We start from the raw sequence: 18,215 nt of genomic DNA, 5'->3' as shown, positions 1-18,215 counted from the left end.
TAGGGGGAACAACACACACTGGGGCCTGTCAGTGTGGCAGGGGGAAGTCATTGGGGGAGGGAGAGCATCAGGAAGAATAGCTCATGGATGCTGGGCTTAATACCTGGGTGATGGGTTGATCTATGCAGCAAACCACCATGGCACACATTTACCTATGTAACAAACCTGCATATCCTGCACACGTACCCTGGAACTTAAAATAAAAATTGAAGGTTTTTTTTAAAAAAAAAAAAAAAAAAAAAAAAAAAAAGGATTCTACACCGGGAGATGAGAGTGAAAATGCCATTGATTTTAAACCCGCCTTCCTGATTCTAAATTAAGATTCCCACTAAAGATTTAATACAGTGGACAAGGGAATTAATTTGTCTTCTATTGTTTTCTATAATTCAGTAATTGTGCCTCATCACCAGGAAAAGGGTATTTTCCAGTTACTTTCATTTATACTTTAGAGACAAAATATAAGGAAGCCTGTCCCTTCTCTAGAATGACCCCACCAAAAAAACTGAAATATTTCATAGAATTATCCCTAAACAGGCAACATGAGAGCAGAAGAAACAAAAGAAGGGCTGGAATACCTCTGTCTCCTTTTGATGTGGCGACTAGATGACTTATCTCTACAAGGCTTATCAATTCTTGATTTCAGCATCAAGCAATACCAAAAAGTGAGGGAATCTTTTCGGCCTTCTAAGCCAATTACACCACTTCATGTTCACAAATAGAAATATGTCTTTCATACAGCTCTGGTCAAAAGACATGAGATTCTAAAACACTTAAGAATTCATTTCCTTAAGGTTCTTGCAGTGAATGCTTCAGATCAGATAGAAAATGGTAAGCCACTAGCAGGCTCTTTCTCATCCACATATATCTATGCTTTCAAAGAAATAATCTTTACTATAACTAACTTAAAAATATTGAAGGTTCCCTGTAGAACTAACTCATGTGTGGTCTGTACTTTTCTCAGGGGTTAAAGAAAATCACAGTGGCCATTAATGGTCTTTCTTGTGCAGAGTTCTTACCTGAACTCCCCAGTGACCTCACCCGGAGCCCCCATGCTGAAATATGTCATCTCCCGGGGTGATTTTGATGATCCTCAGTTTCCATCATTCATGCTGCCTGTAGATGCTAGTTTTTTCTCTCTTCTGCCTCTGTAGTCTTTAGTCCAGGTCCACCTCTCTCATTTGTCTCCATCTGGTCTCAACCACTCTATCGAAAACTGAAACCCCTCCATCCTCCACTGACCCCAGCCTCCTAACCTTTCAGCTCTCTCATGCCCTCACTTGTATTGAACCTGCCTTCTTAACCCAAGTGGGACTACCAGGCCCTTGATGGTTATACTCTTCTAGTGCCTGTCTGTCTCTTAAGTCTTCACTGGAAGCTCCTTCCTTGGGCAGGTGTGCCCAACATAGTCATATTGGTGATTCTGTCCGAACATTGGCCAGGGCAGGACATCTGACCTTGCCAAAGGTGAACACTAAGATAAAGCAAGAATTGGAAAATAATATAAAAGCAAACAGAAATATGAACCATCTACCTATATGAACACAAAAGCTCTAAAATCTTTTTTCAGTGGACTGACTTTAAAATCTTAGATGTTCTATATTCTGGTTGTATTTGTAAAACAGGCCTGCTATTATCACTTACCTCATTCGTTATCTATAGAGAATTTTTTAGCGATTAAGGGTAATGTAAAAGTATGGATGCCAATGGATTGGTGATACTCAAAAAGAGGAGGGAGAAAAGCTCTTTTCTTCAAAAAGACACAAGAATGACAGCTAACAAATGTAGAAAGAACAGAATTAGAAAGTCACCATTGTGCAACTCTCAGTGTAATGACTGATTCAGGAAAGTATCATCAATAGATACTAAAGCCATTGGATGAAAGATCTGGGGATATCAAGTTATTTCCACAACTTGAGTATCTTTCACAGATGACAAAATAGAAAAGGCATATTAACAATGCATAAATCTTGGGGACATCACCTTGACCAATTATCACTCATAACATTACCAGCAATGGGACAAACCCTACTATGTCCCATGCCAAGAACATCACCCACGTGGTCTTGCTATAACTGTCTAACCTGGATTTAACCATGAGGAAGAAATTAGAAAAATCCAAATGTGAGATATATTCTACAAAATAGCTGGTCTGGAATCTTCAAACATGTTAATGTCATGAAAGACACAAAAGACTAGATGGATTGTTCTAGGTTTAGGGAAGCTAAAGAGGCATGGTAACCAAATGCAATGTGTGACCTTTGATTAGATCTTAGATTTTTTTTTTCTTTTTTGAGATGGAGTCTTGTTCTGTTGCCAGGCTAGAGTGCAGTGGCACAATCTCAGCTCACTGCAATCTCCGCCTCCCGGGTTCAAGAGATTCTCCTGCCTCAGCCTCCCGAGTAGCTGGGACTAGAGGCATGCGCCACCACGCCCAGCTAATTTTTGTATTTTTAGTAGAGACAGGGTTTTGCCATGTTGGCCAGGATGGACTCGATCTCTTGACCTCATGATCCCCCCACCTTGCCCTTCCAAAGTGCTAGAATTATAGGCGTGAGCCATCGCTCCCGGCCAGATCCTAGATTTTTAAAAAATCAGTATAAAGGATATTACTGGGGATACTAGCAACATTTAATTCTGGACTATGCTTTAAACGTTACTATATTATTGCTAAATGCCTTGAATGGTTACGGAGGATAATGTTCCTATATTTACAAGATCCACCCTGCAACATTTAGGAGTCAAGTTTCATGATGTTTGCATCTTACATTCAAATGGTTCAGGGAAAAAGAGGCATATATACACATGAAGAGATAAAGCAAATATGGCAAAATGATAATAATTAGTATAGTGAGGTGCAGGGTATATGGATATTTATTATATTATTCTTGTAACTTTTCTATAAATTTGAAATTGTCCAAAATAAAAAGGTGGGGGAGAAAACTTGTAAAGAGACTCCTGGGAAAACCTTTTGTAAAATGTTATTTAATTTACCCAAATAGCATTTTGCACTGCCCAAACTCAATTTCTTAACTTTACAAGGATAAACAATTTACATCTAAAATTAATTCCACAGTCCTTTAGAACTGGCAAAGTTTCTCTGTAAAGGACCAGATAGTAAACACTTTAGGCTTTGTGAGCCACATATAGACTCTTGTTTAATTTAGTTTGGTTTACAATCCTTTAAAAACATAAAACACATTCTTAGCAAGAAGGCCAGTTAAAAAAAAAAAAAGGCCAAGGGCCATAATTTGCCAGCCCCTGATCCTATAGACTCTTATCTAAATAATAAAATCAGAGTCAGGAACACAAGTCAGAAAGTTTCTTTTCTGGAGTTATTTCAAAACAGGCCGGTGTATGTGCAGGGAAGTAGAGAATATCATCTGCTAATGACTCCAACCTGGGAGTAGCTTCTTTAAAGACTAACTCTCTGCAGCCCTCCTTTTTGACTCGTAAGTCATCAAGGACACTGTGCCGTATATGATTGATATTTCTAACAGCATAACATTTGTCACATATTTGTGGCTCTGTCACACTTTGACCCCAGCCTCTTATTAAATACTCAGAAGAGGGTTCACACCATTTAAGCATTTAACCTCTGAAACTTCAACTACACACACACTTGGCAAAAACAACAGAGGAAGAGAGACATGAGTATGGCAAAAACACATCTACTGCCATTCCACTGGGCACAGGCACTCTATTTTATACTTGCTATTACTCTAAGTTATACATTTATGTATTAGTATTCCGGCATAGGAGTTGCATATTCAAAGCCATATGGAGTAAGAGATGTCCCAGGGTGATTTTGAGGGTATTCCATTTCCATCGTACATGCTGTATGTAGGTGCTCGTCTTTTCTCTCTCCTGTCTCTGTAGTCTTTAATCCAGGTCCACTATTCTCGTTTGTCTCCATCTGGTCTTGACTGCTCTATCAAAAACTGAAACTCCTACATCCTCCACTGACCACAGCCTCCGACCCTTTCAGCTCTCTTGCCCTCACTTTTATTGACGCTGCCTTCTTAGCCCAAGTGGAACCACCAGGCCCTTGATGCTTACATTTTTCTAAGACCACCAACCACATGCAGTCCTTCTTTGTCCTCTGCCCAGCTGAGACTCAGTGGTTCACCCTCTGCACTGCCACCTTCCCCAAACTTAGGTCTGCAGGCACTAATGCCCTCTCCTCTCTCCACCTGCCAATCTCTTTCTTTTCTCTCCCATTAAAATCCCAATTCTAGAACAGGGCAGTGATTAAGAGCAAGAGCTAAGGGATCAGACCTCCTAAACTTAATTTTTTTTTTTTTTGAGACGAAGTTTCGCTCTTGTTGCCCAGGCTGGAGTACAGTAGCACGATCCCAGCTCACTGCAACCTCCGCCTCCCAGGTTCAAGCAATTCTCCTGCTTCAGCCTCCCGAGTAGCTGGGATTACAGGCATCCGCCACCAAGCCCAGCTAATTTTTTGTATTTTTAGTACAGATGGGATTTCACCATGTTGACCAGGCTGGTCTTGAACTCCTGACCTCAGGTGACCCATCTGCCCCTGCCTCCCAAAGTGCTGGGATTACAGGCGTGAGCCACCGTGCCCGGCCAAACTTAAATACTTTTTATCTGTATGATCTTAGCCAAGTTATTTAATCCTTTGTACCTCAGTTACTTTCTCTGTAAAATAGGTATAATAATATTCCTTAGAGACCACAGCTAAGTTTGAAACCAGGCTGGTCAGGGGAAACCAGACCCCAGGACCAGAAGGTATCCTTCTGTTTGATGAAAATGATGAAGCTTTTTTTTTTTTCTTTAGACTCCTACAACAACTCAGGAAATTTTTAGTGAACAAAGATGCTGGTGTCTCTACACAGTTGCTACTAACATTTAGAGTGGATTCAACTCAGACAAAAAGATGAGCATTTGTTGAACAAAAGAAAGAATTCAACAATGCTGCTCATGTATTTGCCAACTGGGATAACACTGTTCCAAGATACCAACTGGGCTTCTATTTTGAATAACACAAAACTGGAAAGCATCAAATAATTTTTTAAAGCCTATATACTATAAAAAGCCCAATTCTAAGAAGAGCCAAACTGCTTAGTTTTCAAAATTTGAAATTGTAGAGAGTCCTCATATTTCTTAATGTTTCTGTGGTGTGGGGTAGCTATGAATTAGACTCCTAATCACTGGCATCCACTAAACTCTCTCCAGTTCTAGAGAGTGGTACAGTCTTAGGCATTCTAATCTAATCTCCAAAGACAGGTGTTTGACACCTGTGTGGCTCCACTGTCTGGGAGCCTTCAACTTCTAAAATCCTCCATGCTGAGTGTTCCAGCTTTTGGCCCCCACCATCAAACGATCCCACATTTTCAACAGAGCAAGTCCCCCTTTTTGCTAGATTGGCCTTGGGATACAAGTCCCAGAAAATACACCTGCTAATCTCAGTCTGTAGCAGCCTAATAGTCTCAACTTACACAAAACCTAGCCATAAGGGTGAGGAAGAAAACTCTTCCTCCCCTGTCCCCAGTCACCATTGCATGCAGCTCCTGGGTCATGGTTTTGGTTCTCATTGCTCTGCAAGTTCCATGCCTAGAAATTTGTGTGCATTTGGTTTCTCTGGCTCCTGACCCAGCTTTCTCTTGAAGGACCTAGCAGAGGTTCACGCTACTGGCTTTCCTTGCCTCTGGCCTCCTATGTGGTTCATTCCACTTTAGCAAACTCTTTGCTGGGCCTGCTAGCTAGAGTCCCACTGGGGAAACGAGAGCTTGATCCCTAGTCCTCAGACTCCAAAGCTCGTGCTCCTTCAAATACACCAGTGGGTCTAATCCCCTGTGATTAGAGGACTTAGACAATTTCATCCTACCTACCTGGGCATGAGAATATAGTGGAGAAGTGGATGCCTACAAGAATCTCTGGAGCAAATGTTAGGTAAACAAAAATTGGACCAAAGACCCACTTCAATTGAACCAACATGGTCTGCATGAATTAGATCAGATTTTGGCTAGTCTGTTAATATCAGGAGAGGGCTAAGCCCAGAATCATGGGAAAAGCAAGTGGTAGAACAGAGAGAAAGAGTTCAGAGCCTGACTGGCTTGCATCCACTGAGCTTGCATCCACTGAAGTAACTGCAGCTTACCTAAGAGTTAAGCTCTGATTTAAATGTAATAATGAGAAAAGAGGTGGTGAGGGATACACGAGTAGGGTGGAGAGACTTCGTAGGAAAGAGAATATGGAAACATCAAATAGAAGATACACATTTTTCTTTGAAGAAAGAAGAGCAGTGGGGAGGCAGAAAAAAATGCTGACAGGAGCTGTGTTGAGAGGTTCAACAAAATAGTCAACATTTGTACAGTGCTGCATAATCTTTGAAAGTGCCTCACTCACTCTATCCTTTTGAAGCTCATAAAAAGCCTACAAAATAGAGTTATACATTTTTTATTATGATTTTAGAAAAAAATGAGACTTGGGGTGATTAAATGATTTAGGGGTAAAGTAAGAACATCAATCTCTAGTCCACAGGCTCCAAACCCACATTCCTTCCGTGTCATCATTGGATCCCAAGCAATATTCTGAAAGTTGCCAAAAACAGGAGTTTATTCTATGTGATTCCACTGAAATCAAGTATAAGAGAAGGCAAAATAGATGCTACTGTGACAGAGATCAGAACAGTGCTTGTCTCCAGGGGCTTGAGATTGAGTGAGAAGGGGCATGAGGAAACTTTTTGTTTCATATCTTGATTAGGTTACATACATGTACACATCTTTCAATACCCATTAGATTGTACAGTTAGGAGCTGTGTGTTTCATTGTATGTACATTTCACCTCAATAAAACAAAAATCAGTATTGAAATCACAAAACCTGTTAAATAAATGCAAATTTTGAAATCTTGAAATTTACGTCTATCCATAAATCTTGAAATATATGTCTTTATAAGTACGAAGGCTCTGCTTATTTTGTAGCTAGAGCTACTTCACAGGAGCCCTGAATTCTTTAAAACACAAAAATTAAACACTGTAGTTATTGTTCACATTTAAATTTTGCCAACAGCACAGATTAAACATATTTGAAATACACCAGTGAAACAGGCAAAGTGAGGAGCATTACCCGGCATGTTTTAAGATGTTGTAAGTATATAGAAGCACTGTTTTATTTTGGCACAAGCTGCTTTTGTTTGGGATTTAAAAGGGGAGAAAAGTTTTACTTTTACCACAATTAGGTCCACCCTTACAATTACATGGGCTCAAATTGATGCACAGTGAAAGATTATTGGAGCTGAACAGCAGCTACCAGATGCTCTTTCTCTGTCTTGTTTGCAATTGCCACAGTCCCCACCACTCCCTACTGGCACACCAAGGCTCCCACACCGACTTGTGTTTCTTGTCTAGCCCAGGGATTTTTTGAGTTTCAGATTCAAACTGTGAATAAATTCAAAACAAAACACTAGAAGTCTTACAGCCAAACTGGATAGTATTAATGATGTTTTTTGAATAAAACCAACTGAATATAGGCTATACTTACTCGCAGAGGAGGATTCCATTTTCTAAACCTGTCCGAAAATCTTTATCACCAAAACTTCTGCCAGTTACTTGCTGCAAAAAAGAAAAGAAAAAGAGCACATAAGTTTTTCTTTTTTAATCAAGAAGTCCAATCATATATATATGTGTGTGTGTATGTGTGTGTACATATATATAACTATGTATGTGTATATATGTATGTTTATGTGTATGTACGTATATGTATGTATGTGTATATATGTATGTGTATGTGTACGTATGTATATATATGTATGTGTATATATATGTATGTGTGTATATATATAATTATATATATATAATTTTTTTTCAATAATCTTGAAAAAAACGGGTGGCATTCCAAGAATGGGGAAAATCTGTTAGGCCTGAATTTCCTTCCCATGTGTAGCTTTGCCTAGATCAGCTAAAGTTAAATTTAGACCATTTCTTTGAAGCCTTTTTTTCTATTTACTACCTTAAACAATATCTACCCTTCCTGACAAGAATTTCTTACTTTTGGGGGTTTGGGCACAATAAGTCAAGGCCACAGTCTCTTTCATCCAGAGGATCCACCCCATGCACACTTTCAAAAAAGCCTGGGGAAAGCACACCTGAGGATAAAGTCCTTATTTACTGAAACCTCCAGGGACTGAGGGAGAAGAGGATATGGATGTCTAATCTCAAGGGACTAACATCAAGATGGGAAGATTAAAGCCAATATCCATTAATAATATGGCATAAAAGAGAAAAAATTAAAAGCTGGGAAAGAATAATTGTCTGACAGCACAGGATTGATAGCCACTCTTGGTGCCTCTGGCTCTCAGCAGCCCTGTGGCCTAGGCACCAGGGAGACATTTGTTCATGTGTTCATTCAGGAAATATGTATTGAGCACCTAAAATATACCAGGTAAGTATACAGGCATCCCTCAATATCCATGGGGGAATGGTTTCAAAACCCATCTCGGCTACCAAAATCTGTGAATGCTCAAGTCTCTGATAAAAAATGTGTAGTATTTGCATATAACCTATGCACATCTTCCAGTACACATAGAATCATCTCCAGATTACACTGCATAATATAATATAAATGCTATATAAACAGTTGTTACACTGTATTGTTTAGGAAATAATGACAACAAAAACAGATGCTTTTTTTTTTTTTAATATTTTTGGTCCACAGTTAGTTGAACCCACAAATGTAGAACTCATGGATACGGAAGCCTGACTTGACTATAAACCCTAAAGCAACCTCTAAAATAGCAAAATAAAGTTATAGCTAACAAACCAAGAAAGGAGATAAAATTGATCATAAAAAATACTAACAATTTAAAAAGCAACAAAAAAGGGAGAGGGGAACAAAGAACAGAAGGAGCAAATAGAAAAACAATATATTATAGACTTAAACCTGACCATGTCAATACTTACCTTAAATATAAATGGTTTAAACATCCCCAATTAAAAGACAGAGATTGTCAGAATGGCTAAAAAAGCAGGATCCAACAACTATGTACTGTCTACAGAAATGCACTTTAAATATAAAGACACAAAAAAGTTAAATAAAAGAATAAAATAAGATATACCATGATAACACTAATCAAAAGAAAGCTGGATTAACCATATATATATGGTTATATGTAAATCATTGTTACACTGTATTGTTTAGGAAATAATTTTTTTCCAGGAAAGTCTGATATAACTATATATCAGACAAAGAAACTTTCAGAAGAAAAATAACAACAGAAATAAAATCATTTGATAATGATAAAGAGGTTCACTAATCAGGAAGATGCAAGAATCCTAAACATTCATACACCTAATTAAAAAGCTTCAAAATATGCAAGCCAAAACAGATAGAACTATACAGAGAAATGGACATATCCACAAATAGATTCAGAGATTTATATATCTCTCTTCAATAATTGACAGGACAAGTAGAGAGAAAAATCAATAACGCTATAGAAGACTTGACCAACACTATCTACCAAATAGACCTAAATGACATTTCTAGAATATTCCACCCTAAAACTGCAGAATGTACATTTTTTTAAGTTCACAGTGAGCATTTATGAAGACAGTCCAAATTCTGAGTCAGAATGCAAATCTCAATACACTTAAAAGAATTCATGGGAGCCAAAAAGAAAGGGAGAAAGTCCCCCTCCCCCTCCCCCTCCCCTTCTCCCTCTGGGCTCCCTCTCTTGTGGAGCCTCTCCCTCTTTCTACGGTCTCCCTCTCTTGCGGAGCCTGGACTGTACTGCCATGATCTCGGCTCGCTGCAACCTCCCTGCCTCGGGCTCCGGTGATTCTCCTGCCTCGGCCTGCCCAGTGCCTGGGATTCCAGGCACACACCGCCACTCCTGACTGGTTTTTGTATTTTTGGTGGAGACGGGGTTTCGCCATGTTGACCGGACTGGTCTCCAGCTCCTGGCCTCGGGTGATCTGCCCGCCTCGGCCTCCTGAGGTGCTAGGATTGCAGACGGAGTCTCGCTCACTCAATGCTCAATGTTGCCCAGGCTGGAGTGCAGTGGCGTGATCTCGGCTGGCTACAACCTCCACCTCCCAGCCGCCTGCCTTGGCCTCCCAAAGTGCTAAGATTACAGCCTCTGCCTGCCCGCCACCCCGTCTAGGAAGTGAGCAGCATCTCTGCCTGGCCGCCCATCGTCTGGGATGTGAGGAGCCCCTCTGCCCGGCCGCCCCGTCTGGGACGTGAGGAGTGCCTCTGCCCGGCTGCCCCATCTGGGAGGAAGTGAGGAGCGCCTCTGCCCGGCTGCCCCGAATGGGAAGTGAGGAGCGCTTCTGCCTGGCCGCCCCGTCTGGGAGGAAGTGAGGAGCGCCTCTGCCCGGCTGCCCCGAATGGGAAGTGAGGAGCGCCTCTGCCTGGCCGCCCCCATCTGGGAAGTGAGGAGCACCTCTGCCCAATCGCCACCCCATCTAGGAAGTGAGGAGCGTCTCTGCCTGGCCGCCCCGTCTGGGAAGTGAGGAGCACCTCTGCCCAATCGCCACCCCATCTAGGAAGTGAGGAGCGTCTCTGCCTGACCGCTCATCGTCTGGGATGTGAGGAGCGCCTCTACCCGGCCGCCCAGTATGGGATGTGAGGAGCCCCTCTGCCTGGCCACTCTGTCTGGGAAGTGAGGAGCGCCTCTGCCCGGTCGCCACCCCATCTAGGAAGTGAGGGGCACCTCTGCCCGGCCGCCCTTCATCTGGGAGGTGGGGAGCGCCTCTGCCCGGCTGCCCTGTCGGGGAAGTGGGCACCTCTGCCCGGCTGCCCCGTCTGGGAGGTGAGGAGCACCTCTGCCTGGCTGCCCCGTCTGGGAGGTGGGGAGCGCCTCTGCCCAGCCACCCATCATCTAGGAGGTGAGGAGCGCCTCTGCCCGGCCGCCCCATCTGGGAAGTTGGGGGCGCCTCTGCCTGGCCACTCTTCGTCTGGGATGTGGGGAGCACCTCTGCCCGGCCGCCCCGTCTGGGAGGTGGGGAGCGCCTCTGCCCAGCCGCCCCATCTGGGAGGTGAGGAGCGCCTCTGTCCGGCCACCACCCTGTCTGGGAAGTGAGGTGCACCTCTGCCCAGCCGCCCCGTCTGGGAAGTGAGGTGCACCTCTGCCCAGCCGCCCCGTCTGGGAAGTGAGGAGCACCTCTGCCCGGCCGCCCCGTCTGGGAAGTGAGGAGTGCCTCTGCCCGGCCGCCCCGTCTGGGAAGTGAGGAGCGCCTCTGCCTGGCCGCCCCGTCTGGGAAGTGAGAAGTGCCTCTGCCCGGCCGCCCTGTCTGGGAAGTGAGGAGCGCCTCTGCCAGGCCACCCCATCTGGGAAGTGTACCCAACAGCTCCGAAGAGACAGCGATCATCGAGAACGGGCCGTGATAACGATGGCGGTTTTGTCAAAAAGAAAAGGGGGAAATGTGGGGAAAAGAAAGAGAGATCAGATTGTTACTGTGTCTGTGTAGGAAGAAGTAGACATAGGAGACTCCATTTTGTTCTGTACCAAGAAAAATTATTCTGCCTTGGGATGCTGTTAATCTATAACCTTACCCCCAACCCCGTGCTCTCTGAAACATGTGCTGTGTCAACTCAGGGTTAAATGGTTTAAGGGCAGTGCAAGATGTGCTTTGTTAAACAGATGCTTGAAGACAGCATGCTCCTTAAGAGTCATCACCACTCCCTAACCTCAAGCACCCAGGGACACAAACAGGGCCGAAGGCTGCAGGGTCCTCTGCCTAGGAAAACCAGAGACCTTTGTTCTCATGTTTATCTGCTGACCTTCTCTCCACTATTATCCTATGACCCTGCCACATCCCCCTCTCTGAGAAACACCCAAGAATGATCAATAAATTAAAAAAAAAAAAAAAAGAAAGGGAGAAAGAAAGAAAAAAAAATAGCAGCAGAGCCTACAGCTGACTCTCCAACAACACAGGTTTGAACTGTGTGGGTCCACTTACGCATGGATTAAAAGTGACACTGAGTGTGCTTGCCTTTCCTGCCTCTCTTTCTATTTGCTCCATCTCTTCTGTCTCTGCCACCCCTGAGACAGCGAGACCAACCCCTCCTCCTCCTCAGTCTACCCCATATGAAGATGAGGATGAATACCTTTATGATAATCCACTTCCCCTTAATGAATAGTAAGTAGATTTTCTGTCCCTTATGATTTTTAATAACATTTTTTCTCTAGCTTACTTTATTAAAAGAGTACAGTATATAATATATATGACATATACAATATTTGTTAATTGACTATGTTATTGATAAGGCTTCTGATCAACAGTAGACTGCTAGTAAAGTTTTTGTGGACTCAAAATTTCACGTGAATTTTCTACTGAATGGGGAGTTGATGCTCTGAACCTTGCATTGTTCAAGGGTCAACTATATATATATTTTTTCAAGTGCCCATGTAACTCTCACTAGATAACTCATAGTCTTGGAAATAAAATGAACTACATAAATTTAAAAAATAAAAAAATAAAAAAAAGAATTCATACAAAATATGTTATCTGATTGCAATGGAATTAAATTCTAAGCTAATAACAGAAATATCACTGGAAAATCCCCAAATATTTTTAAACTAAATAACATAATTCTTAATAACCCACTGATCAAAGAAGAAATCAAAAAGAAATTACAATGTATTTTGTAGTGAAAGAATATGACAATATCAAAATGTATGGAAAGACACTAAGGCAATATTTAGGGTAAAGAAATGCCCAAAATGCCCATATCAGAAAAGATCATCTCAAATCAATGAATTGTGCTTTATCTCATCAAAATAAGGCCAAATTAAGTGAAGAAAGGGAGAAAACTCAGGAGTGAAATCAATCAGATACAAAACTGAAAAACAATAGGGAAAAATCAAAGAAACCAAAAGCTGGTGGGGGGTTTTGTGAGATCAATAAAATTTAGAAACCTTTGGCTACATTAGTAAACTCTTGGCCAATAAAATTAGTAACCCTTTTGTTTTTAGTCAAAAAAGAAAGAAGGCAGAAATTACTGATATCAAGAATGACAGCAATGACATTATTACAGATACTATAGATACTAAAAGGATAACAAGAAAAATTATAAATAAATTTGTACCAATAACTTTGTCAACTTAGATGAACTTGATAAATCCCTTGACACGAACAGCCATAGTTCACTCAACAAAGACATAGAAAGATACCCTTCTCACAAAGAAAATGTCAGGCCCAGAAGGCTTACCTAATAAACATATCAAATATTTAAGGAAGAAATAAGGCAATTCTACACAAACTCTTCCAGATAATTGAAAAGGAAAGAATAGTTCCCAATTCATTTTAATAGGTTAGTATTACCCTGATATCGAAACCAGACAGATATTATAAGACACATACACAGAAAATATGCCAAAATGGTATTTCTTCACAATGGAATCATATATGACTTTTACTTTACTTTTTAAATTTTTCAATATTTTCCTAAAACTTTCTACAATATATATTACTTTAACCATCAGAAAAATCAAACAAGACTTTTTGTTACAAAAAAAATCTAAAGAAACTAAATGGTCTCAATTTTTCCTTATAAACCAAAGTTTAAATTCTATCATAAAACATGCTCATTAACCACTCCCACTATGTAATGTTACAAACAATTATTTTGTTAGTATCCTCTCATTCTTATTTGAGGGAGGGTAAGAAAATGAATTTTAAAAAGTCATTCTTAACAGTTTATGAATATCGAGTTTTCCCAAAATAAAGAAATTAAGAAAGATCCCATTTAAAAAGCTAATATTTTAAACATAGACTTTAAACATATTGGCATTTTTTTCCCAGAATCTGTCCATGATTTTTCTGCCACTGATGTGTCATCTGTCAGAATGATTTACATTTTGGAAACATCACTAAGCCTCTCTATAATACTAACTTTGTTCACCAAGAAGTGATTGGAAAGGTTCTAAAACATTTTTTCATACGTCTTTACATTTTTGTCAAAAGCATTATGTTCTAGTGAAAACAGTGCCAACATTGACAGCCCAACAAAGTTTAGCTACATTTATTTCAGAATCTCTGGTTCAGTTTACCTAGGCCTTTCTCCATGTATTGAGCAATGATGATGAGCAGTATCTAGAGACAGAACCACAGATGAACTGTGGCCACTGTGTGCAGGAAGCTCACCGATTGCTGAGAAAAGCAATCTAAACTCTTATGATAAATACAAGATAACATAACTATTAAGAATCTATAGAAAAAAAAAAAAAGCACTTTGGGAGGCCAAGGCGGGCAGATCAGGAGGTCAGGAGATTGAGACCATCCTGGCTAACACGGTGAAACCCCGTCTCTACTAAAAATACAAAAAATTAGCCGGGCGTGGTGGCAGGTGCCTGTAGTCCCAGCTACTAGGGAGGCAGGAGAATGGCGTGAACCCAGGAGGTGGAGCTTGCAGTGAGCCGAGATCACACCACTGCACTCCAGCCTGGGCGACAGAGCGAGACTCCGTCTCAAAAAAAAAAAAAAAAAAAAAAAGAATATAAAAAAATTGGTGCCCCACATACAACCTAAATTGTTCATGTACCACTTAAAATTATCTTAGTATGTAATGCATAGCCACTGAAAATTTTCAAGTAGAGGTTGATACAATAATCTAAAAGTCAGTCTGCTAATCAAAAGTCCCCCAAGATGTAGTCTGATCAAATTCAATTTCTTAGACCCAATTCTGGGAATAGGCACCATGTGTTTGCAGGAAGATGCTAGTTTCCACCTCTGTTCCTCCTCCTCTGCTCTCTGTTGTCCCTCTCCCATGCCCATTAGGACCGAGCACGGTCTTCACACTGCTCTCCACCGATTCAAATGCCATCCATTCCATCTATTTAGGATAGATGCACTTGGATCTTTGTTAGGAGGATCAACAGCTGTACAGACTGCAGAAATTCAATAAGGACCAAGCCACTGAAAATTTGGCCCTTAGACCAGTAGCAGCAGCATCTTCACCTGCAATTCATGTTAGAAACACAGATTCTCGGCCGGGCGTGGTGGCTCACACCTGTAATCCCAGCACTTTGGGAGTCCGAGGCGGGTGGATCACGAGGTCAAGAGTTCAAGACCAGCCTGGCCAACATGGTGAAACCCCATCTCTACTAAAAATACAATATATATATGTACGTGTGTATATATATATGTGTGTGTGTGTGTGTGTGTGTGTATGTATGTGTGTGTGTGTATATATATATATCAGCTGGGCGTGGTAGCATGCATCTGTAATCCCAGCTACTTGGGAAGCTGAGGGAGGAGAATCACTTGAACCCAGGAGGCAGGGGTTGCAGTGAGCCGAGATCACACCACTGCACTCCAGCCTGGGCAACAGAGCAAAACTCTGTCTCTGTCTCAAAATAAAAAAGAAAAAAAGAAAGAAAGAGACATAGATTCTTAGTGCTCCCATCCCCTCTAAGAACTACTAAATCATAACTGGCATCTTAAAAAGATCCCCATGTGATTCCTATGCACAGTACATTTCACAAAGCCCTCACCTCGTATACTAAACTAAGCCAGCAGTTCAGAACCACAGAGGGAAGACCTTCCACTGGAGTCAGGATTTGGGATGGCCTGTCTCAACTACCCCTCTCAGCAACATCTTTATAATATGTTTACAATATCACACATTCTATATACTAACTATAAAGACTGCTAATTCCTGTTCCCCTCATGACAGCATAAGCCATTGCTATAAACAGCAAAACAGCTGCCAAGAATCAACCACCAGTACCAACAGTCCATTTGCAGGGTACATAAAAAGTGACTGCCTTCCCTTATTACTGTGCCACCTGGATCCTGACTGACGAAGGACTCTCAGTAACTTTCCAGACAAGGCACTGGGCAAACCATCAGCTCATGATCACTCTCCAAAGACACAAGGGCAGGATGGGAAGCTTAGGAGAACGGGAAGCTTAGCAGAGCTCTTAAAAAGAGCCCGAGATGGAAGTGATGAAGAGAGAGCCCAGGTTCAGAAGCATTCAGGGGCCAGTAGGGGAAAAGCTGCATGCAATGTCAGGAGCACTTCATCAGTCCCCCAAATCCTGCTCTCTCATCCTCTTGATCCTTGCCCATTGATCACTTAATCCTTACAGCTCTATCTTTGCAGCTGTTTAGCCAAAATCTTAAGAGTTATGCTTGACCTCTATCTTTCCACACCTAACCACACCTATCAACAAATCCTGTTGATTCTCCCTTCAGAACTTAGCCAGAATCATTGCTTCTCACTGCCTGCATTCTATTGTCTTTTTCCAAGCCACTGTCATCTTACACCTACATAGGTCAAGGGTCTCCTAACTGGTCTTGCTGCTTCTACCCTTGCCTCCCTTCCATCTATTCTCAAGCCAGCAGCCAGGGTAATCCTGTAAAATTAAATCATGCTACCATTCCACTCAGACCCTCGCTCCCACTCCCATAGCTCCCCATCTCACTCAAGGTTAAGTGAAAGTTCTCATAGTTCCCTAATGGTGAGCAACATAAAACCAAAGGAGTAAACATAGAAACACACAAACTAATGGGCATGCACGGACAAAAACTATTGGACACTACTGTCTTAAAGGTGGGCATAATAAACTTCCATATATATCTCCATTAAAGGGGACCCTCAGAAGTACTTACGGTGGCAATTATGTCACCAACTATGCCCTGTGTGCCTTTCAAGAAAGCCCAATAGCATAGTTTTCTTGCTTTGTGCTTTAGGATTAATTCACTAACCAAAATATTTCTTGGAGGGACACGAAGATTAACACTATCCATGAATGGATAATTCACCAAAATCTTGATGATTTTAAAGGAAAAGAAAAGTGTTCATCTGCTTTAGCAGTTACACCAAAAGCAGAAGCAAGAGGAGATTTTAATGTGTCATCACACTATTTTATGGAAGTAATTATTGAGGAAGCTCATCTGTATCCTATTTCCTTTCCACAGGACTAAAAGGTAATTATGTTTCTAAGTTTGTCTATGTCAATGGCACTGCTCTGAACCATCCAAATAAGAAACATGGGGGACTTTAAAAAAAACAGTCTAATAAAGAAAACCACACAACTTTATGGCAACATTTTCACAGTGTGTTTACAATGTGATATAAAACACTGTATATGAGTATGCTCCACTCTGCTAATTTCTTTGTAACCATTGTTATTATGTAATTGCCATAAAAAGTCAAAGGCTGCCAAGAATCAGTCTCGCAGCCTGATCGTTCCCATTTTTATAAAAGGTATTTTAGAAATATTTTCATTAATCTTTGGTTGTTTTTTGAAAGCAATCTGGTAGACAAACTACAGTCCACTCACAAACTGTCTGAAGAAGAGTTTAAACAAATGTTGACAAACCCTATTATAATGATCTTAAGAGGAGATTCTGTTGGCTGATGAAATAATGGTGCCTAGATTCAAGCAACTGGAACAAAATACTAGATTTAACAGATTTTGGCAACTTTTGAAAGACATGAATATATTCCCTAAATTGTACAAAAGCAGGCACACTTTTCAGAAGACCGTGATTTCCTCCTACAAACACCTCATTAGTTCACTGAAGATAATCTGTAGCTCATTATGCTTACTCTCTTCTGATTTATATTTGACTTAATTCACAAGAAGAACATCTCTGCATATTTTTATACCTAAATTGTGAAATAAAGCAGAACAAAATTTATCTACTTTTGACATTTTCTGAGGAATAAACCCTTTGTGGGATTGCTAGAAACAATCAAATCAAAATTCTACAGAAGTGCTTTGTAAACATTGATGGATCACACTCATGTAAGCCATAATTAGAAATCAACCAATCGATCATTTACCAAATTCCTGTTTTATGTCAGTCAGTGTAAAAGGTGTAAGACCAAAATGACAAGATCTGGTCCCAACCCTGTAGAAATCACAGTCCAGGGAAAAAATAAAACATTAGAAAACAATAGATTGATGGAAAAGATGTGTGGTTTTCAATAAATTAATGGAAGAGAGTTACAAGAGCATGGAAGAAGCAATGAACACAAATTGCATAACTGAAGAAATAGCTGAATGATAAGAGCTCACATTCATATCACAACTACAATATGCCCTCTCTGTTCTAAATGCTTGTCACATTAATTTATTTAAACCTCATAACAACTTTATGGTGTTTGATTATTGCTTCTATTTTAAAGCCAAAGAAATCCAGGCACAGAAAGGTTAAGTAACTTGCCCAAGGGCTCAAAACTAGTAAAAAACAGAGCCTGGATTTAACCCAGGGAATGTGCCTACAGAGTTGATGTCACAGTT

At 40.9% G+C, this 18,215-nt stretch overlaps 1 protein-coding gene across 39 annotated transcripts in view; it reads right to left on the bottom strand.

Annotated features, from left to right (window-relative positions):
* Positions 1–18,215, bottom strand: part of LIMCH1 (LIM and calponin homology domains 1) — a 340,438-nt gene that overhangs the window by 197,937 nt on the left and 124,286 nt on the right. For all 39 annotated transcript variants that reach the window (NM_001289124.2, XM_011513642.2, XM_011513644.2 and 36 more), the window contains exon 2: positions 7,502–7,572. Coding sequence is in view for 38 of the 39 variants with exons in the window: in XM_011513642.2 (XP_011511944.1) it covers positions 7,502–7,572 (71 nt within the window). In the remaining variant the exon portion in view is untranslated. The remainder of the gene's footprint in view (positions 1–7,501; positions 7,573–18,215) is intronic.

The sequence above is a fragment of the Homo sapiens genome, chromosome 4 (genome assembly GCF_000001405.40).
Source record: "Homo sapiens chromosome 4, GRCh38.p14 Primary Assembly".
In the NCBI taxonomy this organism is placed as follows: domain Eukaryota; kingdom Metazoa; phylum Chordata; class Mammalia; order Primates; family Hominidae; genus Homo; species Homo sapiens.
The sequence above is the reverse complement of the archived record's forward strand: the minus strand, read 5'-3'. Positions and strand labels throughout refer to the sequence as shown.